Here is a 26,597-nt window from a genome sequence, read left to right as displayed (position 1 = left end):
AAATATAGCTCTTGCTGTACCCCAAAGGTACCTTAGCAGAGGTTGAGGAAATCTTGGTTCTGTTCTCCAGACACCAGGACCCTCTCCCAGATACCAGAAGCACAGCAATTGCCCCTCATGGGAGCCTTTCCCTTCTAAGAAAAGAACAGAGTGGGAGAAAGGAAGTTTTGTGCTGGGCGAAGAAACAGGTAGTTTTTCTATGTCAAAAAAAATACACTGGTCATACCTGCAGACCAACTCTGACCTGAGCGAAGGAAGTTAGGCAATGGACTTTACACCAAAGAAAGACTGTTTTTAATTCACTCATCTTTTATATACCTCTGATAATCACCAGACCACTGAGAAAGATGTCAAGCAAATAATCTCAAGAAAAAAAGTAGAGGGAGAGAGAAGAAAGTACTGAATAATTGAATTATGGGATTGAAACCTCTCAACTCCCCCTGCCTCAATAGACTCATCATACTCACATCCTCTCCAGGGTCCCCCCCGCAACACACACACACACAAAATATCAAAAACATGAACCCATCTCATGCCTCATGTGCTCTTACTCACTTAACCATAAAAGTGATCAGAGAAAAAAATGTAATCCGTAGCAGCAGGAATTAATGTGCTTCTTTCTACCAGAGGTCACGTTAAGGAAAAGTTGCACATAAGAGAAATGAAAGGTGACACTGTAATTAACCCACAAACAATGATTCTTCTGAGAAAGAGGGGAGGGTTTCGGTGTTCCAGTGTTCATGGAAGGAAGATTTTTTATCTCTTCCCAACCAGTTTATGAATGACATAGGATACTTAGAAGGATTCACATTTCACCCACTTCCCCTGAGAACATGTTTATCCTTGCAATGAAAATCATTGCCCAAGCCCCAGCTACGAGTCGCCCTTTTGCACCCTTTTCCACGAATAATCTTCCCAAAATGTCTGCTTGTAGAAGCAAGATTTGGAATTTCACGGAAAACTACAGAGAGACACAGAGCAATGCACACCCCCTGGTAAGCCAGAGAGAGACAAAGAGAAGAGAGAGGAAAACCGAAAGAAGATACATCTAACGGACCAACAAAATAAAACAAATCCCCAGCAAAGCAAAGTGAAAACAATGATTTAAAAAACACATAAAGACGTGTTTGTAATTACCCGTCCAGGTTACATGTTCGCCGCTTCCAGGCAGAGAAACGGCTGGTTGAAGTTTTGTGCCCGTCTGACTGTGATGGGAGGGTTGTATTTGAAGCTCTGGGCACGTAGAGATGGAATGAGAAGGAGGCTGAGCTGGAAGAAACACCAAGGGGGGAGGGAAGGGGGGAGAGAGAGAGAGAGAGAGAGAGAGAAAGAGAGAGAGAGAGAGAGAGAGAGAGAGAGAGAGAGAGAGCGCGAGCTATCTCTAGCTACGCCTTCCTCTAAGCTCCGGGAGCCCAGGAGAGCGCTCATTTTAGGATTTGGGAGAGGGGTAAAAAGAGGAAAGGCGGCCCCCGCTCTGCGCTGGCCTTGCTGCCCCGGGGAGGGAGGACTCTGGCCAGCGCCCCCCTCCTGGCGGGCGGCCCTGGGAGCCAGCCGGGGAGCGCGCGGAGCGGGCGGCGCAGGGAGCTGTCCGGTTCAGCACCACCCGTAATGCAGTAGGTGGGAGCGCCTCCGCGGGCGCCCAGCCGGTAGCGAGTGGGGGGCAGGCGCGCGGCCCACCCTGCAGCAAGACGCCGGCTCCCTCGTTTCCAGGAGCTTTGCAGATAGGGGGAGGGAAATCCGCCTCGATTCTCCAGGAGAAACCCCCTCTCTCCCCCACTTCGCCAACACTACCCCCGCCACCAACAACAATAACCGCCGCCGCTGCTCGTCCTGCTGCCGCCGCCGCCGCCGCGCCTGCCCGCCCTGCCGCCGCCGCCGCCGCCGCCGCCGCTGCCCGGGCAAAACCATGGAAAGCGAGACCCCCGCACCTGTGCAGCTGAGCTCAAGGGCTTACAGAATACTGGGAAGTCTGGTCTGAAACGAAAGCGCCGAGACCCCCCAAGGAAGAGAACTGGCGAAGCAAAGGATTTTCATGGCGCAGGCCGCAGAGCCGAGAACGAAGACCGAAGGTTGCATCTCGGCTCTCACAGTCTCTAACTGTCTAGGTCCCGACCATGAGAAATGGTGTTGAGAATTCGGCTGTTCCCTGGTTCACTGTGGAAGCCATCTCCAAATTAACTATCACATATGGAAACTGGAGACCAGAATTTTAGAAAAAGAGATTAAGGCATCTCACTTGGGGGGGTGGGGGGTGTCTTTTTATTTTTTTTTTCCTTTTCTTTTTAAAAAAAAAACACTGCAACTGGAACAGTTTCTGATCTCAAAAGGCAAGCCTCTTCCCGTGTGATCTTTATAATTTACACTCTTTTCCGTGAGCTTTCTTACCTCCCTTTTTTTATAACTCTCCATATTCTCTATTCATACATATATCCATTATATTAGTAGTGGAATAATTTTTATTTTTATTTATTTTTTTTGGCTTTAGTACTTGCACCCTCACACACACTCTCCCGAGAACCAGAAGTCGGTTGGGTGTTTATATAATGAAGAATTATGGGGCTGTTTGATCGAGGTGTTCAAATGCTTTTAACCACCGTTGGTGCTTTCGCTGCCTTCAGCCTGATGACCATAGCTGTGGGAACCGACTATTGGCTCTACTCCAGAGGGGTTTGCAAGACCAAAAGTGTCAGTGAGAATGAAACCAGCAAAAAGAACGAGGAAGTTATGACCCATTCCGGATTATGGAGAACCTGCTGCCTAGAAGGTACTTGACTTCCCATCTCCTCCCCCCTCTCCACCCCACCCCTCCCCTTTCACTCCCCCCTCCCCACCCTCCTCCAAATAAGTCCCCTTTACATTCCACCATTTTCTTAGTTCACTCCTTCCACCACCAATCAAGGTTGGTTGGGTTAGTTTCAGAGGAAAGAAAATCAATAAGCAAAACCCATACTCTACTCCCTCGCCTCCGCCACCCCCTCATCCCCTCAAACATCCTCATTGGAATAATCTATGACATGGTGAAAACGACAAGAGATTGTCTCTAAAAGTCAAAGGTGTTCTGCCTGCTTTGGAGTCATTAGGATTTACCATCCGATTTAGCATTGCCATCTATGAGAGGGTAAAATAATTGCTTCTGTGTATGCTGTTTCTCTTTTCGCAATGAAGAATTCAAAAATGCTCTTCCCTTTTCCCTCCTCTTCTCCTTACTCCCCAAAAGTCCTAGACACACCACCATCTGCAAATCTCCTTATTTAAAAAAGAATATGTTGTTTCTAAGAATCCTTATTTGGTAAATCCTAATTATTCCAGGATCTCAAGCTGAGTTCAAGAGCATTTCGTAATGTCTATGAGCCACACATATCACTCGAGGTGGCTGGCTGCGTGTGTGTATTTGTGTATTTTAACGTTTACAAAGTCTAAAAATACATACGTCTCTCACAGGAAACAAGCCTAAGTTCTAATAAACAGCAATTCACTTGCGGGTTAGGCTTCCACAGAGTGACATGTCTGTCAGCCAGAAGCTAGTAGAGTCAGCATTGCAGCCGGCTTGAGAATCAGACATTGTGCAGGCAGGCAGGGAGGGAGGGAGGGGAGGGCATGGGGAGGTTGAGGGGGGAGTGGGGGTGTCAGCTCTTTGCCTTGATCTTGCGGAGTGTTGAGGCATGTGTGTCTGTGCTGTGGGCACAGGAGCCGCCACGGTGTAAAGGCTGGGGGATCACGCTATGGATGAAGGCATGTACTTCTGGGACACATTAATAAGCACAGAAAAAAAAACTCCTGTGGGTCATCCAACCTGCATTTGGCAACAGACTTTAGTATGAGGGACTGCATTTGAATGGCTATATATGTCTGTGTGTGCAAGCTACAGCCACCCATAGATAGACGTGCACAGAGAGATACATATGCTTCCATGTGGGGGAAAAAAAGAGGCTTATGTGTTTTGCTTCTGTTATGAACCAATACTGGGGGCCGTTTGAGGCAGCGTCGGGAAGCAAGGACTGCAGGATTGTTTGTTAAGCTCGACATGGGATGGTGATGCAGGGAGTTGAGACTAGGAGATGGGGGAGAAGAGAGGGAAATGGATGGGTGAGAGAGAAACTGATGTGGCCCCAGGGTCTAACCCAAACTGAGCAAAAGCCACACTTTCGGAAATGATTACATCTGGGAAAGAGCACAAATCCCATGCCCCCCTCCCAACATTCTTGGTGCAAACGGTTGAGTGATGGCTGAACATGTTTTGAATAGCTAAGTGACTTCATTGAGCGATGGTCTATTTGACGCATACTGCATTTGGTGCCCTTTCTCAATCCAAACCGCTGTCTTTAACATATTCTGCAGAGGAGCTCTATGCTGAATACTATATGCTCTTCCCCAGCCAGAAAATCAATATCAAGAAATTAATAGGGACTGTTTTAAACACATGCACACACACGCCCCCTCCTTAAAAAAATGAAAAGCCTTTCATACAGCTAGTCATTAACAGTGGAAAGACTTCCATTTAATTAAACATTTATGACAGACTTTTATTCCGAAAGAGAAGAAAAGCAAAGTGAATGAGGACCGCTTTAGGGAAATGATCATAGTGGCAATTTGCTTTCCTTGGATTTTAGTTAGATGGATGGAGGGAGATAGGTAGCCAAGAGACTAGAGGAGAGACAAGACATTGTTTTACCATAAATACACCCAGAAATGGGTGGGTTGGCATAAATATACTTTTCTAAATCTGTGTTTTATTTCCAAATTCTTAATATTGTGATCTTTTAAATATTGTGTAATTCCCAGAAGGCAAACAGACTAGAGGTAGCTTTGTATCACTCGTGCATTAAAAAGGCTTAAGTATTTTGATTAAAATTCCATCTGTTTGATGTCCACACCCCCAAATGTGCTGCCCACCCCCTTTAACTTTCTCTCCAAGCTGCACACTCCCTCTCTCCCTGAGTTGTCTGTAAAGGGTTAGAATTGCAACACTTCCCAAGGATTGTGCGATGCGCACAGGCACTGTGGGTTGGGCCATTCTCCCCAGCGGGGCCTCACTACCCCCGGGCAGTACTGTGGGGCCCTGCCAGGCTCTCCTCAGGGATGATACTCCCTTTCCACTTGTAGCCATGGCCAGGGCAGGAAGGGCTGGAGCTCCGGGCCCGCTTTTGACCGGGCCTTTAATTTCCAAAGCCTCTGTCAATTGGAGCTTTGCAGGCCTGGGACCACCTTAGGAAGTTGGGCCTTGGCGACTTAGGAAGTAGTTTGGAGATTGTAAGCCTCTTATTTTCAAAGACTGCACTGATCTCCAAAGGCTGTAAGTTCAGTTGTTTCTGGAAGTTGGCGTAGACAGTCCTTGGGGGCTGTCAGTGTGCTTGCTTTTATGAGCACTCAGAATGGGGTCGCTCTCTATGGAGATCAAGTTGTCAGTGCTTGAGGTTCCCCCAACTTGTGTTTCTTTTGTGTGAAAAATTGGACTTTCAAAAAAGATCCCCCCACCCCCCACCCCTTAACCACTTGATCTGTGTTTTCTGCCCAATCTGGAGAAATTGCGAACAGATTTCACATCTTCTTTCTAAGATGCCGCTAATGACTCCAGATGAAAAACAACCCTGTCTTCCTCTGATCTCTTTTGCTGTCTGGTTTTCATTAGGGCTTTTTGTCTCCTGAGGTGATTATTTTCATTCACCTCTTGATGAAAATAAGAATAGAAAAAAAAAATGTCCTTGCCTCTAAGGCTGCTTTTGAAATTAACTAGTCTGCTGAAGAATGAGAAGATACATGACCACCTGTTAGAGACAGGCACAGGGGGAGAGGGAGAAGGGCCAGGGAAAAAACCACCACCCTTATTTTCTTCCTCTGCAGACTGAAAAGTCTGTGTGTGTGTGTGTGTGTGTGTGTGTGTGTGTGTGTGTGAACTTGAAATCCCCAGCAGGCTGGTGTCCTTAGGGGGATTCGAGGAGCGTGGGTGGGAGATGACAGTGTGTATGTGGATACAGGTAGGTGGAGAGAGACAGAAGTTCATGAACTTTTCAAGAAAGCTGAATTAAGAGTCTCTGCATGGAAAGATGAATTGGCCCTCTCAGAGAAGAGTTCAATGAAATCTACAACAAGATGCGAAAACAGCTTGTTCAAGCAAGGTGTCTCTAGGCTGCCTGGTAGCTTGCTGCTCAGGATATTAGCCTCTGTTGTCACCTAAAGGAAACATCGTCTCCAGGGACAGCAAGAAATTCACTCTTGGTGCTTATTCTCTCCTATGCCTTCCTCCCCTCTGTCTTGGCTCCATGGCTCCCCCAAAGGATTTCCAGACCTTCAGAGGTGAAGCCAACAGTGGGCATAATGTGGCCTGTAGAGGAAGCAGACTCCGTGTTTTCTCTCCCCCTCTGTCCGTTTTGCCTTACTGTGAGGCAGAACAGAAATCTTACTCTCTGTCCAGGCTGTCAAATTCCCTCTGCTGAATATCTGAGCTCCTCATCCATCAGTGGCTTCTCCTTTCTTGCCCCCACCAGGCTGCTTGCTCACAGGGGCTCTGCCAGCCACTCTACATCCTTGTTCTCTTTGAGCAAGAAGTGTCTCTCTCAATGGTCCCAAATCTTTTCCAAGTCATGATGGCCTGCGAGGTGATACAGTGCTCCACGCTCGGCTCAGCCATGGCTCTCTTATTCTGCAGGAAAAAAAAAGGATTCATCTTTTATTTTAGGAAAGCCAATAGCCTTTCCCAGACACGCTTGCCTTCTAGCATGGGTGGGCTGAATCTGGAAGGTACTAACAGGCCTTCACACTGTGCAAGTATTGCTCCATAATTCCCAAGATAATTTGACTTTCTTTAGGTACTTTGCACACAGGAAGCGCATAAGAAATATTTATCAATGGATTGATGCAGAAATTCTTAAAATTACTGAGATGAATGCAAACATCATGAGGATATGTGACAACCAAGTGATCGAGAGAGAGAGAAAGAGGGAGGAGAGTGGGGAGAGAGGGCGAAGAAGAGAGGGAGAGAAAGGAGAGAGGGAGAGAAGGGGGTGCGGAAGTCAGAATGATTTGTTTGTTCTTCCTGGAACTTCTTTTTTTATAAGAATAATAATGAGTCATGAATCCACTATTATAAGATAAGTGAATTCAAAAGGAGTCAGTCATTGAGGCTGCACAGCTCCTAATTGGCTACAGTGAAGGCAAATTATTCAAGGAAAGGTAAAGAAAAATGATCCATGCACACAGCCTCTATAGGAAAGAAAAAAAATATCCAATTGATTTTCTTCCCTTTTCTGCTTCTAAAGTATACCAAAGTTCACTGTGATCTTAATATTCCCCAGAACAGACACCTCTGAGCAGAGAGCAGGCCTTAGAATGGCCCACCCCTGTTTAGCTCCAGCAGAACCTTCTACTCTTTCACAAACCTCCCATCCAATTCAAAGAACCCTGACAACTTTCCCTCAGGCTTGGGTTCTAACCAGCAGCTTTTCCATACAGCCAGGCCTTGCATTCCTAGCCATTCTCACCGTGTTAGCCAAACCCGGCTCCTCTACCTGGAGTCCTGGTCAGTTCACACCACACTCCCTGCCCTTGCTTCCTCTTTCCAGGTGAGCTGAATGAGGCACACAGGAATGAACAACACACCAAAGTCACATGGCAGGCAGTGGCAGAGCCAGAACTTGAATCCAGGCCCCTTATGACTCATCGGGCTACATTGTCCCCCTATCATGTGCCCTCTGCAAGCCTCCAGAGTGCTCTGGGCAGTAGACCCAAGCCACGGTGGCCTCCCGCTTATATCCACTAATAAGCACTGTTACATCTGGTCTGTGTCTTGTTGAGCATCCCTCACTGAGCACTCAACCTGAGCATCTCAAGAAGCCTGAGTTCCAACCCAGTGACTCCCCTGCATACCCCTCCCTCCTAGCTGCCATCTTGAGCTGCTTTGCACCTTTCAGGGTGACGACGACTGTGCCCTGGTCCACGCCCCCTGTGAGCTGAGTAGCTGAGTCTAAGGAAATGCAGCAGTCAATTTCTAATGCTGAACTTCAGGCCAAACTCACCATGTGCCTCTATTTTGTCCTTTCATTTTGGAGCTGTCCCCAGTGTAAATGATCCATGGGTTTATGTTTTCAAGCATTTTCAGAAAATAGCAAATTTACATCCTACGTAACTCACAGAAGTTTTCAGATGAAGTTTTTGTGGTCTCGTTGAAAGAATTGATGCCACACAGACCTGGGTTCACTTCCTGCACTGCAGCCTTGTGTGATCTGGGGCAAGTTACTCAACCCCTCTAACCCTCAGCTTCCTTATCTGGAAAAAAAGGAGGCATAATCTCCTCCTCGAAGGGCAGTTGCTGGCTTAGGGATTAAATGAATGGATGTCTGTCCTCCCTTTTCTCAGATCACCTTATTTGAAATTGCAATCAACAACCTCCACCTGCACTCCTCATCCATCCCCCTTTGCTGTTTTATTTTTACAGAGTACTTACCACCTTGTAGCACGCTCTGTCCTCCACTCATTATATGTGGTGTCTGTCTCTCACCACTAGACTGTCAGCTCCATGAGGGCAGGGATTTTCATCTGTTCTGCTCACTGCTGTGCCCACAGCAATCATGACAGTGCAAGAAGTCAATCTACCTTGTTAATGAATGAACCCATGACTACTGCCTGCTACAGTGTGGGTGTTCAGAAAGGGTGGTCCCTTCACACTGCCGAAGGATTATTCTTCCTGCATGGTGAGCTGTGGTGGCCAAAGCATTAATTTTTTTAACATTCTAAAAAATAAATAATGAACTCAATACAGAGGAAGGAGTGAGAGAAAAGAGGGAGGGATGGAAGGAGGGAGAGAGAGATGGAGAGAAAGAGAGAGAGGAAGAGAGACTGAACGCATAAAGGACAATAGTAAAAAAGATAATGGAAACAAAAAGTGCTTGGAGAGAAAACAAATGCCTGAGAAGAAAGCGCCGGGGGTGCAAGTCCTCTAAATAGATCCTGGCCACACATTCCTCCCTCCACACCATCTAAAGTGTCTGTCACAGATCCTGGGGGAGAGCTTCCCTTGAGTGTTCGCTTTCAGGTTGAGGGGAGGAGAAGATATAAATCCAGACTGATAATGCAAGAAATATTTCATCAAAATGCAATGTCTCCTTTTAACCTCAAATATAAGTATTTTGGTCAAAAACCCATATTCAAACGCAATAGGCATTGTACGTTTCCAGGTTAGTTCGCAGCCATAGATGGGACAATTCCTTCACTCATTTATTTTATTGGTGAAATCTTTCATGAGCCCCTGTAAAGCGCCAAGCACTAGGCCATGAGGTGAGAACATCATAGGAAGCAGCGTCCTTCAGGGTCACTGCCCTTGTTGAACCCCGATTCACATTATTTGAATCCCAATTCACATAATCTCACATGTATATAAATTACAGCTCTGATAAGTGCTATTCACAGGAGATGCATGAGACGTGAGCTCATAATACTGGGATTCTAGCTAACCAGGGAAGGCTTCCCTGAGGAGGTGAGATGGGAGTGAAGACCTGAAGGATGAATAGGAGTTAATCCAGGTGAAGAGAGGAAGAAAGGACATTCCAGATCGGAGGGCAGCATGTCCAGAGATAGGCAAGGAAGGAATGAGACAAGTACCAAGAGAAGGCCAGGGTGGATAGGAAACTGAGAGGGGTGGGGGTGGGGGAGTGGCAGGGTGGTGATGCTGGATGGGGTGGGAGGGGCAAGTGGAAGTGGTCAGGACCCAAAGGGCTTTGTTAGTCTTGTTAAAGGGTACTGTTCTGTTATGTTTTTTGGCTTCTTGCTTATAAGCTGTGTGACCTTGGGTTAGTCAATTCTGTCTCTGTGACTTATACTCACCTACAGAATGGGGATAAAAATACCTGCCTTTATAGTTGTTGTAAGGATTAGAGCAGCTGTTTCCTTTTTTTCCTTCCTTTCTTTCTTTCTTTTTTTAAGAGACAGAGTCTCACTCTTTCACCCAGGCTAAAGTGCAGTGGCATGATCATAGCTCACTGCAGCCTTGAACTCGAGGGCTCGAGTGATCCTCCCGCCCCAGTCTTTGAAGTAGCTGAGAAGACAGGCGCAAACCACCACACCGGGCTCATTTTTAAGTTTCTTGTAGAGATGAGGTGTCACTATGTTTGCCAGGCTGGTCTCGAACTCCTGACCTCCAGTGATCCTCTGACCTGAGCCTCCCAAAGTGCTGGGAGTACAGGAGTGAGCCTCTGTGCCTGGCTCTTTTCCTGCTTTGCCATGCTGCTTTTGCTTCCACGCCGATCTGAATACAGTGGTTTCTTAGGCTTCTCAGCTACCCATGACAGTTCAGAGAAGGGTAGAAATAGACTCAAATAACTTTCAATCAACAAAATTTAAAAATGTGTTGACAGTGGGTGCCCACCCTTTGTGAAACCTAGGCAGGCAGTGGTGAACAAGTTCCTAAGCCTGCTTCCAAGACCCTCCAGGGGAGTCCTAGCAGGGGACCCTAAAGAATAAGAATCTTGCAAAATGGCTCTGTTTCATCCTAAACATTTGAGACAGCCCCATACCCTAGTGCCACCTCTCCTTATTACCCTCCCACAAATTCAGAGAGATTCTTGGCATATTTTACAATCAGTTAGAATTATCGAGGATTTCAGCTGCAATTTGAATGAGGCTCAGTTATAACACCAGATTTTTTGAAAATAGGAATAAGAGATGTTAACTGTGCTCCCCAATGCCAGGAAATGCATGTCACTAGCTGTGGGATTGCTGGTGAGCTGCGATGGCCTAGCCAGCCCCCAGTCCTTTCTCCTGGGTACATAAAAGGCTTTATTCTCCCAGTTCCATATTCTCTCAGTTCTAAGACACCGCTAATTGTAAAATGACCTGTCTACCAAAAACAGCCTTCAGGGGAGAGGGGGACAAATTTAATGTTCCACATTAATTATAAAATACACTCTAATTTCAAAAATCTTGCAACTTAAAATACGAGCCTTAGAATCAAAAGAAGACGGTCAGCTATCTTGCTGCAGGGAGAAACGTAGGCAGGGTGCTAAGAAAGCCCAGAGGATTTCTCCAGCATGCAGCTGGTGCCTGCCCCGTGACTCAGGAAGCAGCATAGAGCAGAATGTGGCCTTACCAGCAACTTGCTTGAGGAGGAAAAGGGTGATGGTTGCTCTTTTCCAACAACTGTTCCCGAGTATTTGCCAGGTACTGTGTGGGACTCTAGGATAGAGTTGAAAGACTCAATCTGTGCCCTCAAGGAATTCAGTCTAGTAGAGGAGATACCCCAGTGAACAGACAATGATAACTGCACAGCATGAAATGTACGCACAGGGGATTCTGGGAGCACAGGGATTGGGGAGGAAGGGATGCCAGGGAGGACTGAGTTCTCAAGGATGCAGAGTATGGGTGAGCAAGCTAAGGAAAGAAAGAGCACTTCAGACAGCAGGAACAGCATGTGCAGAAACAGATGCCCATATGTTGGGCATTGGCAATGCCAATGGTCCCATGGAAGGTAGAAAGCAGAAAGGGGTGAGGCTGGAAGGCAGCACAGATGTGACCCCAAAGGCACAGAAATGCCTCACAGAGACATTTGTGTTTCAGCATGAAAGAAAAGGGAAGCCCAGAAAGGTAGGAAGCCAGGTAGGATCATCACAACTGGCTTTTCCACTGTCTAGGTCACTGGTTGTTGAGGGCTTAATGGATGGGATGAGGAGTGGGTCAGGGCTGATGAGACTTGCTGAGCAGGTGAGAAGGTGGTTGCAGTGACCAGGTGACTTGCACTAAGTTAGTCATAGTAAACAGAGAGTAAAGGGGAGAAGGGAGATTGTAAGTGATGTACAATAGAGGGACGTCCAGTCTCCCCTTCTCTTCTCACTTCCCAGCATAACAAGCATGACTGAACACATACTATGTGCTAGTCCCTCCCATTACAAATATGTGGCTACAGAAAGTCTCTATTCAAATATCACCTTCTCAAGGAGGCTTCCTGACCACCCTGTCTACAGTAGCCCCCCAAGTCCTGTCCCCTTTTTTCTTTTTTTTAGACAGAGTCTCGCTCTGTTCCCCAGGCTGGAGTGCAGTGGTGCAATCTTGGCTCACTGCAGCCTCCGTCTGCTGGGTTAAAGCAATTCTTATGCCTCAGCCTCCCGAGTAGCTGGGATTACAGGCGCACACCACCATGCTTATCTAATTTTTGTATTTTTAGTAGAGACGGGGTTTTGCCATGTTGGCCAGGCTGGTCTTGGACTCCTGACCTCAGGTGATCCACCCACCTCGGCCTTCCAAAGTGCTGGGATTATAGGCATGAGCCACTGCGCCTGGCTTCTTTTTTAACTTTGTATTTTTATTTTTTTAGCACATGCATGTTTCTGACCTGAGTTCCCCTGTAAGACTGGAAGCCCCATGAGGGCAGGGACCATGTCTGCCTTGTCCATCACCATCTCCCCAAAGTCTTGTCTAATTTCTGGCACTAAGAAAGTGCTTGGGAGCTAGGTGTCAAATGAACAAATAAAGAGATGGGGCCTGGCCTCTGGGAGTTGCCCACCTAGTGAAGGAGATGGGCTTTTAAACAAAAACTCCAGGCATCCATTGACCAGTCTTTTCTCCTAAGCTTGGCTGAAACCACATGCTGAAAAACGCTTGGTAACAAGCAGGTGTTTCCCCTGCAACCTGGGAGGTCCTCTGTGGTGCCTCCTGGGCCCCAGCTTTGCCATAAAAGCTGATAAGTCACTGCCTGCTGGGAAGCAGTCATCTTTTCTCTCCATTGCAATCCTTGTTAGTTACTGCCGGGCCCAGAGGCACTGACTTAGCAACCCTGGGTTTGCCTTTGCGGAGTGCCGTCCCACTTCCTTACTGACACTATATTCATTCACTCTCTCCTGAACTTCTTTGACCTTGGGTAGCCTTCCTTCGGCTAACAAGCATGCCAGGGATCAGGTACAAGATCCCAGGTGCATGGTTGCTGGAGCCTCGTTGTAGGAAGAATCCACCCGTTGTCTTGCCACCCCCTCCATCATGCAACTTCAATGCCCCAGTGCCAGCCTCTCTGACCTTGCACCAGGCAAAACTCACTGGAGACCAGCCACTGCTGACCCCTAGACCAATTCTTATCCCAGTTTTGCCCCATGGCTCTCCTGTCTCATTTTCTCTGCTTAAAGGATGTATGCACTTTTTTCTATCATATTTTCCCCCAACCTGGATCTCTCTATCTCTGATAAGGGATACATGTTATCCTTTCTCCTTCCTGAATTTTCGCTAGTGTTGATAGCTCTTGTCTCCATTTTCCTCCACCATGTTTGCAGAGTAGGTAATCCTGAAAAACAACGGTTCTGCCATCACTTCAATACTAATAGTAACAATAATAATAATAGGTAGTCATTCGTTGAGTGTTTCCTTTGTGCTAAGCACTGTTTTAGATGCTCTCCAGAGGCTCTTATTTAATCTTCACAATTCTGAAGATATGTGCTGTGATACCCATTAACTCCATCTTAAGAGGCTCAGAGATGTTAAGTAACTTGCCCCAGGTCACACAGCAAATGGCAGAGCTGGGATTCCAACCCAAGCCTGTCCAACCCCAAAACCTGTGTACAGCCTTCTATGACACTAATTATATCTTCCATTTTCTCTTGGCTCCCAAGTCTATAAATAAACTTCTTTCAGATGTTGAGGGCAATGCTGAACAGAAATGCTGTTTGTACTCCCTTGCATGATGAAGTCTTCAGCATTTTGAGCTTATCCAGGGCAGGGTGGGGGAATAGTGAAGGGACTGCCAGATTTCCTCACTGCTTTGAAAACAGAAGTTCCCTCAAAATGCAAGGACATCAGTCTCCTTGCAGTTTGTGAAGGTGCGGAAGTGAATACAGATACTCCCTCTCCCCCTGCCTTCTGCCCAAAGGCCCCTTTCCCAGCCACATCCTACTTTGTCTCCAGGACTTAGTGAAGTTGTCACCTCTCTCTGCTGCCTCCCACCCTGCTCCCTCCCACCTGGGGTCTGCTTCCTCCAGATCCCAGCATCTAATATCTTTTATGTTGCTTGTTTCCATTCCTGTGTCTTCCTCTAGATCATGAGTTCCCTCATCTATTTCTTCAACAAAATTTACCAAGTTACTACCATTGCCAGGTGCTGTCCTAGGAAGAGGTGTGAACAAGCATGAAGTGTTTAGGGGACCACTTGAGGTTTATACTATTGCGGGAGAACAAGGTATGGGAGAGGAGATAGGGGAAGGTGTTAGTAATGAGGGATGAGATTGGGCAGAGGCCCCATCACAAAGCAATGATTATACGGTGAGATTGCTCAATGTTTGTTGAATGAATGAGTGAGTGAATATAGAAAAAAGACATAGCACAAAGCTTGACATCTGGGATTAGGATGCCTATTTAATCTCAGATTTTTCCCATCATCGTCATCATCATCATCATCATCAGGATGCATTCTTTCCCAGTGAGGCCTGGAGTTCATGTCAGCTCACATCTGACAGCCTGGGTTCAAATCCCACCCCTGTCACTTATGAGCTATGTTCCCTTGGACAAGAAATATAGCCTAAGTCTATTTTTCACGTGTAAAATGGGGATAATCATTTTGTCTCCCTCCTGAATTGCTTGTGAAATTTTGGTGGGATGCTCCACGTAGAGTGCTTACCGAGGTGCCGGCACACAGTGAGCACTTGACAAATGTCGGGTGCTGTCATTACCAGTGGTGTGTTTATTATTTATGACGCTAGCAGTTGCAAAGGGTGATTGGCAAGCGAGTTGTGCTTGGCCCTCAAATGTTCTACAAATTGAAAACTTTCCCATAAAAATCCACATTTTTGGTTCCTTGGGGGGAAAAAAAAAGATTTTTGTAACCCTGGGCCCTATCCCTGCTTGGCAGCCATCAGCAAGAGCTGGGCAGCAGATGTCTCTTCCGTGCGGCAGGTGCCTCGCACTTCCCCCTGAGTCCCCACTGCTCCCGAGTGTCTTACGTGGCTTACATGGCTGCTCCGCTCCACCGTGCGTGGCCGTTTCCCGGCCTCTGTAGGCGTCGAAGTTTGCAAATCCTCCTCTACGCCTATGGCAAATTAGAGGTAGAGTCTTTGTCTTTTGACAGCTGAAGACAGAACTAAAATGACACCAGCGCAGACAGGGCGTAGCAGCTCACAGAGACAGAGGGAAGAAAGCCGTGCATCTGTAAATAAATGCATAAATATCCCACATTCCTGAGCAGGGCCTGTTGATAAGATTCAGGTGGAAGGCTAGCCTCATCTACTCCCTTTTAAAGAACGTCCCCAGGGTGAGTTGTTGCTTTTAAAGAGAGAGACGCTCACCCATTTTAGGTCACCCTGGCAGCTTCCTTTCAGAGGCTGACATTTTCTGACCTTGACCCCAGTTCGGGAAGCATGCCCTGTTGTGGTGGCCAGCCACGTGGCATGCTTTATTCAATAACTGAATGCCAGGTGCCAAGGCGACAGGCCACGCTGTTGGTGCTGGCTGCAGAGAGATGGGAGGGAGACCTGCTGCAGGACCGAGAGATTTACTACTTCTCATTTCTACCTTGGAAAGCTTCATGGAGAAGAGAGAAATTTCCATTTTCTGGGTAGGAAAAATTGTCCAGTAATTGCCCAGAAAGAATATTAACTTAAAGACCTGTCGTTTGAATCTCAAAGAATGGTCAGACCTGAATTAACTTGATAATTTTTGAATGTTTAATGTAAGCCAGACTCTGTGCTAGTTCACAGATCACAGAAACAAATCAGCTGCCGAGGGGAGTCTGCCCTTCCTCTTCCCAGTCTCTCTTGCCGATTTTATTTTCTTCGTTGGATTTTACGTTCTCTGAATTTGTTTGTCTACTGTATGTATTATTTCTAATTGGAATGTGAGTTCCATGAGACCAGGGTCCTTGTCTGTGTTATTTACCTGCCATAGCCCAGGGACTGAGAGCAGTGCCTGGCACACAGTAGGTGCTTAGTAAATGTTTTTTGGGTGTCAGAAGACACGCCCCTGCTCTGAAGGAGACCAAAGCCTAGAATAGACAGGCAGGTATCAAAACCGTTACCAGTGAGCTCAGGGACTTGATGAAGGCACAAGTAAAGGCGAGAAAAGAGAGCAACTTTATTTGAGGAGGTCAGGAAAGAGGTCCTAAAGGCCCTCTGCAGTGGGTTCTGCAGGACGAATAAGAGTTCGCCAACAGTAGAACAAAGGAGATAGGCCCAAAACAGATGAAGAAAATGAAATCACCCAAGACTGTCCCCAAAAGGATGAGGTCAAGGAGAGAGTGGAGCACTTGGTCTAGAGCAGCACCCTCAAAACTTTAATGTGTACACAGATCACCTGGGGATATTGCTGAGATGGATACTGATTTGGGGCTCCAGGTGGGGGCTGAGACTCCATTTCTGGTGCTCAGGTGAGGCTGATGCCACAGGTCTGCAGACCACAGTTTGAGAAGCAAGGCTTCAGAGCATGGCCAGCAGGTTCTGGCAGATGAGGATCTAAATCCCACCCCTGCCACTGGCGGGCTGGGCCTGTTTCTTTGCCTCTACCATGAGGATAACCACCTTCTTCCCAGGCACCAAATAAATTCAGAGTGCATAGATCTGGGAAAGCCACTAGTTCAGTCCCAGCACCTCTATCAGTCCATTTCATTTCAGCTACTTTTTTTTTTTTTTTTTTTTTGAGACAGGGTCTCACTCTGTCGCCCAGGCTGTAATGCAGTGGTGCAATCATGGCTCACTGCAGCCTCAAACTGTTGGGTTCAAGCAATCCTCCCACCTCAGCATCATGAGTAGCTGGGACTACAAGTGTGCACTACCACACTGAGCTAATTTTTTTTTTAAGAGATGGGACCTTGCTGTGTTGTCAAGCCTGGTCTCAAATTTCTGGGCTCAATCGATCCTCTCACCTCCATCTCCCAAAGTGCTGGGATTACAGGGCGTGAGCCACTGCACCCAGCCCATTTCAGCTAACATTATCATTTAAGGTTAAATGAGGTGACCAGAGATATAAGAAGAAAGAGTGATTTTCCCCGAGAGCTACTGTTTGAGAGTCTCCTGTGTGCTGGGCCCTGGGCTGAGGACCATGTGTCTGTCACCTTCCCTGGCTGCACTGCACTCTGTAACATGGGTGTTAGGATTCTCATTTTACCCATTATATACCAGTGGGAGTGTATGTTTCCTATTGCTGCTGTAATAAATTACACGAACTTAGTGCTTAAAACAACAAAAACCTATTATCTGATGGTTCTGGATGTTGGAAGTCTAACCTGGGTCTCACTGGGCTAGAACCAAGGTGTGGGCAGGGCTGCATTCCTTCCGGAGGCTCTTGGAAGAATCTACTTGCTGGCCATTTCTAGCTCCTACAGGCTGCCTCCTTCCCTGGCCTGTAGCCACTTCCTCTATCTTTAAAGCCAGAGTTGTTGAACAGAGTCCTTCTCGTGATTCTCCTGCTTCCCCCCTCACACCTAAGGGCCCTGGGGATTACCACGTGCCCACCCAGATAATCCAGGATAATCTCCCTCTCTTACAGTCCGCTGATTAGCAGCCTTAATTCCATCTGCAACCTTAATCCCCTTTCCCATGCAATGTGGCGCACTCACGGGTTACAGGAATTGGGATGTGGACATCTTTGGGAGGCTGTTATTCTGCCGACCACAGGGAATGTCTACCCAAAGAATTCCCCTAATGCCACAAGCTCAGAACAGCACACCTGGAAAAGGCTTTAGAGCTTGTACCAGGAAGGATTCAATTTGACAATAAGCCACAGAAAAATAAAACTAACAGTGGTTTAAATAAGACAAAGAGTTTGTTCACAACCTAGTGTCACAACCTTGGAATAGTACACCTGGAAGAGATTTTTAGAGATTATATCAAGAAAGATTAGATTTGATGATAAGTAACAGAAAAATTAAATGAGCAGTGTCTTAAACAAAACAAAAAGTTTATTCTCTTTCAAGTAAACAAATCTGGGGCTGTAAACTACAAGGCTGGCCTGGAGGCTCCACAAACCGGTTAACAATGCAGACCCCTGCTCGCTCCCCACTCCATCATCCCCACAGTGGGTCCTTCAACCTCACAGTCAAGTAGGGCTGCCAGAGCTCCAGCCACTGCCTTCACATCCCATGGATCAAGGTGGAGGATGGCACAAAAAAACAAGGGCAAAGGGCACCTGTCACCTGGCTCCTGAGAAGGCTTCCTAGAAGGTATCACACAACATTTTTGCCTTAGTTTCATTGGGCAGAAGTTTGCTACGTGACCACACATTAGCTATAGGGAAATCTGGAAAAGATAACCTTTATTCTAGGTGGCCACATGCCTGGAGGAAAACTCGAGTTTCTGTTGCTATGGGAAAATGAGAGAGGGAAGTTGACTAGCGGCGACTCCACAGGGCTCATCTAGTCCAAATCTTCACCTTGACTTTGAAGAACATGAGGCCCAAAAAGGAAGGGACTTGGTCATGCCACGGAGTCAGCAAGTGGCAGTGCAGGGACTAGAACCCCTGTGCCCGGGTCCCAGGCAGCAAGTAGTGTGGGGTCTCCAGCACCTGACACGGTGCCTGGCACGTAGTAGCAGCTCACTCATGCTTGTGGGACGGAAGGCACTGTGCCATTCCACCACCACAATATTCCCTCCGGGTCACAGCCTCTGCTGCTGCCTCTTTGAGGGTGGATAGAATCCCCAGCTCTGGGAGGCAGGCCCATTGCATGCCTGAGTCTGTTTATCCGCCTTCCTCCCTCTTACATGCCAGCTGATACCCTTGGGGGAGCTCCGGGCTCCCCTATCTCTCCCACAAAGTCATCAAATCCAAGGGCCCTTCCGCATGAAAGAGCTGCAGGATTTGACCGAAGAGAAGCCTGAAACAGCACCAAGAAACGGAGGTTTTTCCTTCTTCTGGACTTGCTCTGTGACAGGGTCATCTCCTTAGAGATGAGCCTTTATATCTGAGGAGGGTTGTGGCAGCGAGCTGTTGCTGTTGTCTTGGTATGCCCTGGTGTCCGTTTTGACATGGTGAAGGGATTAGACAGGGGCCCATCCAAGCCAGGAGTGGTGGCCACTCTCCCCTTTCTCCTGCCAGCCTCAAAGCCAAAGAGCCTCCACCCTCAGACATTTGCAGCCTCTGCCAGTTCAGATGTCGGCAAAGATCCAGACACTTCCTTGTGCTTCTCTGTTTTCAAGTATCTGTCTCCTCAACCAGGTGGCAAAGCCCTTGAGACATGGATGGTGTCACATTTACCTCTGTGACCGGCTGTCCGGCACAGTGCCTGGCACACCTCAAGCTCTTGGTGAATAAATGGGGATAGGCCAATCAGTCAGAATTAAATAGCTAAGGCAGGGGCTGGCACATAGTAGGATCTCAGCAAAAATAGTAGTAATAATGAACAAAATAAGAAAAGGAGAAAGGATGGAAAGATGGACGGAGGAAGGGAGGAACAAATTAGTTAGTGCCTTGGCTTCCCGTGGAATCAGCCGCTCCTAGGGTAGGCGGCTCTCCCCGCCTTGGTCCCGGAACAGCGGAATCCTTCCCCTGAGGACTGAGTTCACAGGAGAACATAAGAACCAGGCCGGAAAGATCTGTTTCAAAAGGCCTGTCCTCGGCTTGAGAACACTGTGCCTCTGGGGCTTCCCGATGGGCCTCGGCAGCCGAGGTGCCTGACACCAGGGTTACCAGGACATGGCCAGAGGCAGAACGTGTGGTGTGGGTGAGGTGGGGGCAGAGCGATGGGGGTAAAGGAAGCCAGCTGCCACCCCAGGTCTAAGTCAGCGGCTTTGCAGAGCACCAGAGGACAGGAGCCAGAGGTGGGTCCATGGTAAGGATGACGGGGGGCAGAAGCTCAGCATAGCGAGGTGGCACAGGGTGGGGAAAGAGCGTGAGAAGGCGGGCAGAGGCCCCCGGGAGAGATGGAAGCTGCCTGGGCGCGGGCGGGCCCCTCTCAGAGCAGATGGAATGCTGGAGCCCAGAGGGTCCACGACAGTTGGTCAGAGCGAAGAGGAACAGCAGCAGGATGCAGAGAGAGGCCTGCCCGCCCCCAGGCTGGGAGAGACACCCCCTGCCGCCCCCAGAAACGCTGCCCAGGGAGAGCTCTCTGAGACACAGAGAACACAGAGAAACCAGGCGGGGCATGGATATTTGTGGACTGAGCGATGAGAGGAAGCTGCAAAGCTTGTGGCTGGAGCCCAGGCTAAAATTACAGGCCAGAGTCTCAGACGGCAGGACCACACACCACCGCAGCTCAGGACCAATAGATTTTCCCTAGAACCCAACCACTTCCTGCCCTACTTTCTTCCCGGATTGATTGGGCAGCGCGATCCAGCAGAAAGAGCCCAGTTTGGGCATCAGACAGACCTGGGTTTGAATCCTGATGCACTCTGCCACCTCGGGCAGGGTGCTTCATCTCTCTGAACCACTGTTTCCTGTCCACCACATGCACACACAAAAACGGAAATAAATATGCTTCTCAAGCAGTGTGTTATAAAAATTAAAATAAAATCTGTATAAAGGAGTTGCATACTGAGTGAAGGCTCAAAACACAGTGCTGTTGTTTTAAATCAGGACTGTTATTAATCAAACACATATCTTTTTTTACTTTGTTTTTTTTTTTTTTTTGAGACAAGGTCTCGCTCTGTTGCCCAGACTGGAGGGCAGTGGCACAATCTTGGCTCACTGCAGCCTTGACCTACTGGGCTCAAGTGATCCTCCTACCTGAGCCTCCTGAGGAGCTGAGACTACAGGGGTGCACCATCACACCGGCTCATTTTTTTGAATTTTTGTAGAGATGGGGTTTCGCCATGCTGCCCAGGCTGGTCTCAAACTCCTGAGCTCAAGGGATCCACCCACCTCGGCCTCCCAAAGTTCTGGGATTACAGGTGTGAGCCACTGCACCCAGCCTCAAACATGTATCTTTAAATCGATCCCCTGTTTAAATCGAGCCTCATCCTAAGCAATAGTACCCAAGAAATCACTGGTTCAATTCACTAGTTATATTTTTAACATGCCTTCAAAATACTTAGCTTAAAGCTATTTAAATGTTCATCCCTATACCACCTAAATTCATCTCAGGTACCACAATGGCCCACCATTCACTTTGCAAAAGCGTTGTTCCTACTGATAAACCATCCACGGGGTTTGAAAGACATGGAGAGACGGGTGGCTCTTCAGCCCCATTACTCATCAGCTTTTTTCTTTAGGTGATAAAAGAGACACTGACATAGAAAGTGAAAAGAAGGTCAGAGGCCAATTCACAGAAGTCGCCTGGACTGTAAGGGCCTTTCTGAGGCGTCGGGAGCACTCGGTTCTTAGTTACAATTTGACCCATTCCTCCATCTAGAAAGGATGGTGGTGTGGACGACAGCCAGGGGTCGCGGGGGGTGGAGAGAGAGAGAGATGCTGCCTCCCTTGTTGACACACTGATTTGTACTGAAGGATTTTCCCTTTGGTTTCCTCCAGGGTGTTCAGGAGATGCCCCCTCCCAAGACACCATCAGAACAAGAGGAATTAGCTCTCCCTGTCAACCAGCAGGGAAGGAATTTCTTTCTCCACCCTAGAGCCTTCCAAGCATAGAAGGATTTACCTCTGGTAGGAAGAGGTGTTTTCTTGGAAGAAGCTGTAAGATTTCTCCATAATGATCATACCTGAGTGGGGGAGGAAAGGCAGTTTTGTCATAACAGGAATGACTGTCTCCCATAACAATAATGACAAAAAGGATTTGGGGTATTTAGGAAGGGCTGGGATAATATGACTCACAAGCCTAAGAGAGATAGTGTAGGATTTTAGGAACCCAGGTGCTGGGTCAGAGAGAATGCAGGCATTTCCTTCCTGACTCTTAGTCCTGACTCAATCTCTTAGATCCAAGGGCTTCATCCACCATCATCTATAAAGCAAAGGCTAATCCTGAAGTATTGGACTTTGACCCGAGGGTGTTTATTTCAGAGATCCAGCACTGTCTTGTTAGACCCTAAACTGCTGAGAAGAGACATAGCTACTTCTTATACAGTTGAATGAATTAACACATAATTATGGATATAAACTAATTTCAGAGTATTAATGTGGGGGCCTGGAAATAAATCACAGAATATCTTGTCTATACAGCAATGAGATGCCAGGAAAGAAAGACAGGATGCTGCAAAGGAAGCGCTGAGAGCAAATGCACTTACCCTTTGGAGGGCCCGGAGCGATCATGAGCTAGTTGGCTGTAAGAGCCCCCTTTGGGATGGCAGGCATGGGGGAAGTAAGCGTTCTCGCAATGAAGCTGATGGGATTTTAATAGCCAGACAGATGGCCTGAGAGAAAAAAAAAGGAAGATTTTTTTTAAATGAAGGAAAACACTTCCATAGCTTCCCTTCAATTAAAAGAAAGTGAGAGCCGTCCATGCCGGGAAGATTTGTCACCATTATTAATATTGTCAGTCTGGATTTCCTTTAAATAACTGTATGATTGAGCATCAGTAATAAACCAGGGCAGCATCTTCAAACAAATTAGAGGGTGTGACTCTCTACTGACTTTCTATTCAATTTTGATTGTGTTGGCTTCATTTGGTCTCACAATTTAATAATGATCCCAAATAATTGTGTTGTTATTATTCTTGTTTATGCAGTCAAACGTTTATCACTTATTGGATTCTTTAGTGTCCATCCTCCTAAGAACTTCAGGTTCTATACAAGTCACCATTGAGTAGCCAGCATATCTAAATTTGAATCAAGAAACCTGGGAAGAAGTCGGGAGTGGGGTGGGGGGAGGGGAATACAAGATAAAAAGGAAATGTTTGAAAAGAAGGAGAGGATGGAGAGGAAAGGAAGGGAAGAAAAACACTACCTATTGAGCACCCTCCTGTATACCAAAGGTTTTATTTTATCCCCACAACCACCATGCAAAATCTGTTTTAGGCTTCTCTTCCTCATTCTGCAGAGGAGGAAACGGAGGTGCTGAGAGATTAAGCGATTTGCCAGAGTCCCACAGCTAACAGGGGCAGAGGTGGGAGTCGGGTTTGGGACTCCGTCTCTTCACTGGCTTCACTCCTGCAAGGGCCTTCAAGCCCTGCGTCTTCTCCCCCAAGTCTCAGCCAAGCTGTGGGAACCCTCCCAAGCTTAGAAATGAGCTGTCTCGTAGCATTCCTGCAGTGTGTAAAGGAGCAGAAATTCACATAGGAATTCTGCCTCTTGGTCTGCTGTTACACTTCCCTAGTTCAATTCTCAGAGTCTCCTGACGGCTGAGCACCATGAAGATGGGCTGATGGTAGAGGGAGAGTTGGTCCCTGAGAGCATGCAGACTTGGCATCCTTTGGCCATACCAGAAATGGACCCAATAGAGAGTGGGGGGAGTAATTATCTACAGGAAACATACACATGCCATGCCTCCAGCTACCATGGGCTGGATCCTCTGGGATCTACTGTATAGTCCTTATTTTTTCATTCAGTTCCCACAACCACCCTGTATGGCAGGGTGGTGGTACAGATGAGAGAACTGAAGCCAAAAGAAGTCAAGTGATTTCTTTTTCAGGTTGGTCATTGGTGGTGCAGGGATTTAAACCCTAGTCCAGCCAATGGATTCCAAACACAAATGGTCAACTTTACTTCAGCACCAGTGTGATGAGTTTTGACAAGAGACAAAAGGAAAGGGTGGGAGAAGTTAGAAATGTAACCCAAAAATATATTTGGAATAAAAGTGGCTGCCCCCCAAAAAATGGATTTAATTCTGTTCCTGCCCAAAGGCTGATGCTCAAATTTAATTCAGTAAGCATTTACAGGATGTCAACAATGTGCAGATCATTATGCTAAAGAGCCAGGTGCTGACAAAGATTCAAATTCCCTGTCTTCTTCCTTTTTAAAAACTTTCGACTCTGAATAAAAAGATGTGCCCCTTTTCCCACAAAGAGAAAAAATCATGTAGTTGCTCTTCCTTATGCTATCACCAGGTAGGAAAAGTCCAGTCTCTGCGAGGGCTTGGAAGCATTCTCTATATTCTAAGGTGCTGCATCAGTTACTTTTAGGCCCTAAGCACTAAACCAACAGAAAGAAGGTGGAGGGATGAAGACAAACTAAAAGGGAAGAGCCATGGAAATACAACCAACAAGCAAAAGAAAATGATCCATCGATTAATAGGCAGAGAGATGAACAGATAGATGATAGATAGATCTTTAGCTTCTAACTTACTCGTGAAAAAGATACAAATTCTTAGAATAATAAAAAAAGAATAATTTTTCTGTTTTTCATTCTCATTCTTTTTAATGGATAAATGTATAAATAAAGAAGTTGACAGGAAAAGAAAAGAATCTGAGACATAAAGGCCAGAATCAGAGTTTTTCAGATGTGCTGCTGGTGGTGGTGATGATGGTGATGGTGGTGGTGGTGATAGTGATGGTGATGGTGGTGGTAGTAATTGTAACCATGATGCAGGTGGCAGTAATCATGAAGGTGGTGGTGATTGATGGTGACAATAACGGTTGTGATAAAGATGGTGGTGATGAAAGTGGTGGTAGTGGTGGTGGTGATGGTGATGGTAGTGGTGATGGTGATGGTGGTAGTGGTGATGGTGGTGGTGGTGGCAGTGATCATGAAGATGGTGGTGATGGTGGTGATAATGATGGTGGTGTTAGTGGTGGTGATGGTGGTAGTAATTATAGCCATGATGCAGGTGGTGGTGATCATGAAGGTGGTGCTGATGGTGGTGGTAGTAATTGTAACCATGATGCAGGTGGCAGTGATCATGAAGGTGGTGATGATTGATGGTGGTAATAATGACTGTGATAAAGATGGTGGTGATGAAAGTGGTGATGGTGATGGTGGTGATGGTGGTGGTGGTGATGATGGTGATGATGGTGGTAGTGATGGTGGCAGTGATGGTGGTGGTAATGGTGATGATGGTGATGATGGTGGTAGTGATGATGGTGATGGCGGTGGTAATTATAGCCATGATGCAGGTGGCAGTGATCATGAAGGTGGTGGTGATGGTGGTGATGGTGGTGGTGTTGATGATGGTGATGGTGGTGGTGATGATGGTGGTGGTAGTGGTGGTGACAGTGATGGTGGTGGTAGTGATGGTGGTGGTAATGGTGGTGACGGTGATGGTGGTGGTAGTGATGGTGGTGATGGTGGTGGTAATTATAGCCATGATGCAGGTGGCAGTGATCCTGAAGGTGGCGGTGATGGTGGTGATAATGATGGTGGTGGTAGTGATGCTGATGGTGGTGGTAGTAATTATAGCCATGGTGCAGGTGGTGGTGATCATGAAGGTGGTGGTGATGGTGATGATAATGATTGTGATGCAGGTGGTGATGATGAAGGTGGTGGCAGCAGAGATGGTGCTTGTGATGATAACAGGGATTGTTATCATCCGAATAACTACCATTTGGAACAACTCTTCACGGTGTCCAAAACCTTTAACGTGTATTACTTCATTTTAGAAGAAAAATTCTGAATTTTTCAAAACAACAACTATTTCTAACCAAGTTCCACCGTGAGTGTCACCAAAACTCAGCCAAGTTAAGAGAACAGGGAGAGCTGGAGTGGGCTCTTTCTCCATCACACGTAAGTGGGCAGTGACCTAGGGAGGAACAGTTACAAAAACGAGAGCAAGGCTACAAAAGCTCTCTCCAGTCTTCCCTCAACCAATCGCCTCCAAGTCTATTCACCCAAATCAGTCCCCAACGTTGATAGAACTTAATACCCTTTCACCTGAAAACTGTTTAGTAGATTTCATATGCATAACTGATTGTAATCTGGTTCCTAGTGGATAAATAAAAATCATTTGTGATCATTGAAACGTATTTATTTTTTAATTAGGTAGCAGCCATGAATGAAGAGCCCTCAGAGAGCCATCTCCTATAACCTCTCCAGGAGCCCTACTGACATAGAAAGGGCAGCATTCAGTGGCCGGTACATTTGCTCCTGCCCATGTTTTCTTATAAAGGACTTTAACCCCTGACTGACAGCCCTACCACACTTCACCGGAACTCATCACATGTCCTTTTTTAAAGAAAAGAAAGAAAGAAAGAAGGAAAGAAAGAAAGAAAGAAAGAAAGAAAGAAAGGAAGGAAGGAAGGAAGGAAGGAAGGAAGGAAGGAAGGAAGGAAGGAAGGAAGGAAGGAAGGGAGAAAATCCAAAATGCTGGCAGATAAGCTGCCAACAAAATGATTTCTTTAAAGAATAAACTAATAACTGAGTATCAGTTAAGGCACAGCCAGCTGTGACGTTTCCTCTGGCCATGCCAGGGGCTGCAGTAACTACCTACTCAGTGCTGTGCTGCGAGCATTGATTGGGAGCATTGGCTGTGTCAGAGGGCTTGACATTCCAGCAATGACACAAACCACGTGTCCTTGGGAAGACGGTGTGCGATGAGATGGATGAGCCAAGTAGGGTTTGAGAAGTGGGAAAATTAGGTCAAATCCCTGTGAATGTACCCAGGGAAAGAAGAGGCTGCTGCCGAAGGGAAGCTGTGTCCTTGGTGTTTTTAGAGAAGGGGGTGGTGTCCTAGGTGCAAGAAGAGAAGGTAACCATGGTGGCTCCTGGCCATCGTGGGGAAATGGAGGGGGAACAGGTGTGAGTGACTGGCATGGGGGTGGAAATGAGGTCATATCCGTAGTGTGGGAGCTGTAGGGGGAATGTTATCGCATGTGCTGGGGGAAGGATGGAGGCAAATTGGGTCACGTCTTTGTGGAAATGATGAGAGAATTGGGTCAGAACTGTGGGGGAGAA

General features: G+C 47.1%; 1 protein-coding gene and 1 long non-coding RNA gene across 4 annotated transcripts in view, besides 1 other annotated feature; one reads left to right on the top strand and one right to left on the bottom strand.

Moving 5' to 3' along the window:
* Nucleotides 1-1,254, bottom strand: part of CACNG2-DT (CACNG2 divergent transcript) — a 63,214-nt gene extending 61,960 nt beyond the window's left edge. The window contains exon 1 of the long non-coding RNA NR_134623.1: nucleotides 1,138-1,254. This is a non-coding gene — a long non-coding RNA (CACNG2 divergent transcript). The remainder of the gene's footprint in view (nucleotides 1-1,137) is intronic.
* Nucleotides 1,378-26,597, top strand: part of CACNG2 (calcium voltage-gated channel auxiliary subunit gamma 2) — a 142,896-nt gene continuing 117,676 nt past the window's right edge. For 2 of the 3 annotated variants that reach the window (NR_166440.1, NM_006078.5), the window contains exon 1: nucleotides 1,378-2,764. Coding sequence is in view for 2 of the 3 variants with exons in the window: in NM_006078.5 (NP_006069.1) it covers nucleotides 2,554-2,764 (211 nt within the window). In the remaining variant the exon portion in view is untranslated. The remainder of the gene's footprint in view (nucleotides 2,765-26,597) is intronic. The other variant, NM_001379051.1, reaches the window with a different exon arrangement.
* Nucleotides 19,772-20,313: an enhancer, noted in NCBI's record as "H3K4me1 hESC enhancer chr22:37080862-37081403 (GRCh37/hg19 assembly coordinates)". NCBI's record gives its function as "activates a minimal SCP1, AML or CMV promoter by ChIP-STARR-seq in naive H9 embryonic stem cells {active_cell/tissue: H9 hESC(naive)}" and the evidence as "EXISTENCE:reporter gene assay evidence [ECO:0000049][PMID:30033119]".

The sequence above is a fragment of the Homo sapiens genome, chromosome 22 (assembly GCF_000001405.40).
Source record: "Homo sapiens chromosome 22, GRCh38.p14 Primary Assembly".
NCBI lineage: Eukaryota > Metazoa > Chordata > Mammalia > Primates > Hominidae > Homo > Homo sapiens.
This window is presented reverse-complemented; position numbering and strand designations above follow the sequence as displayed.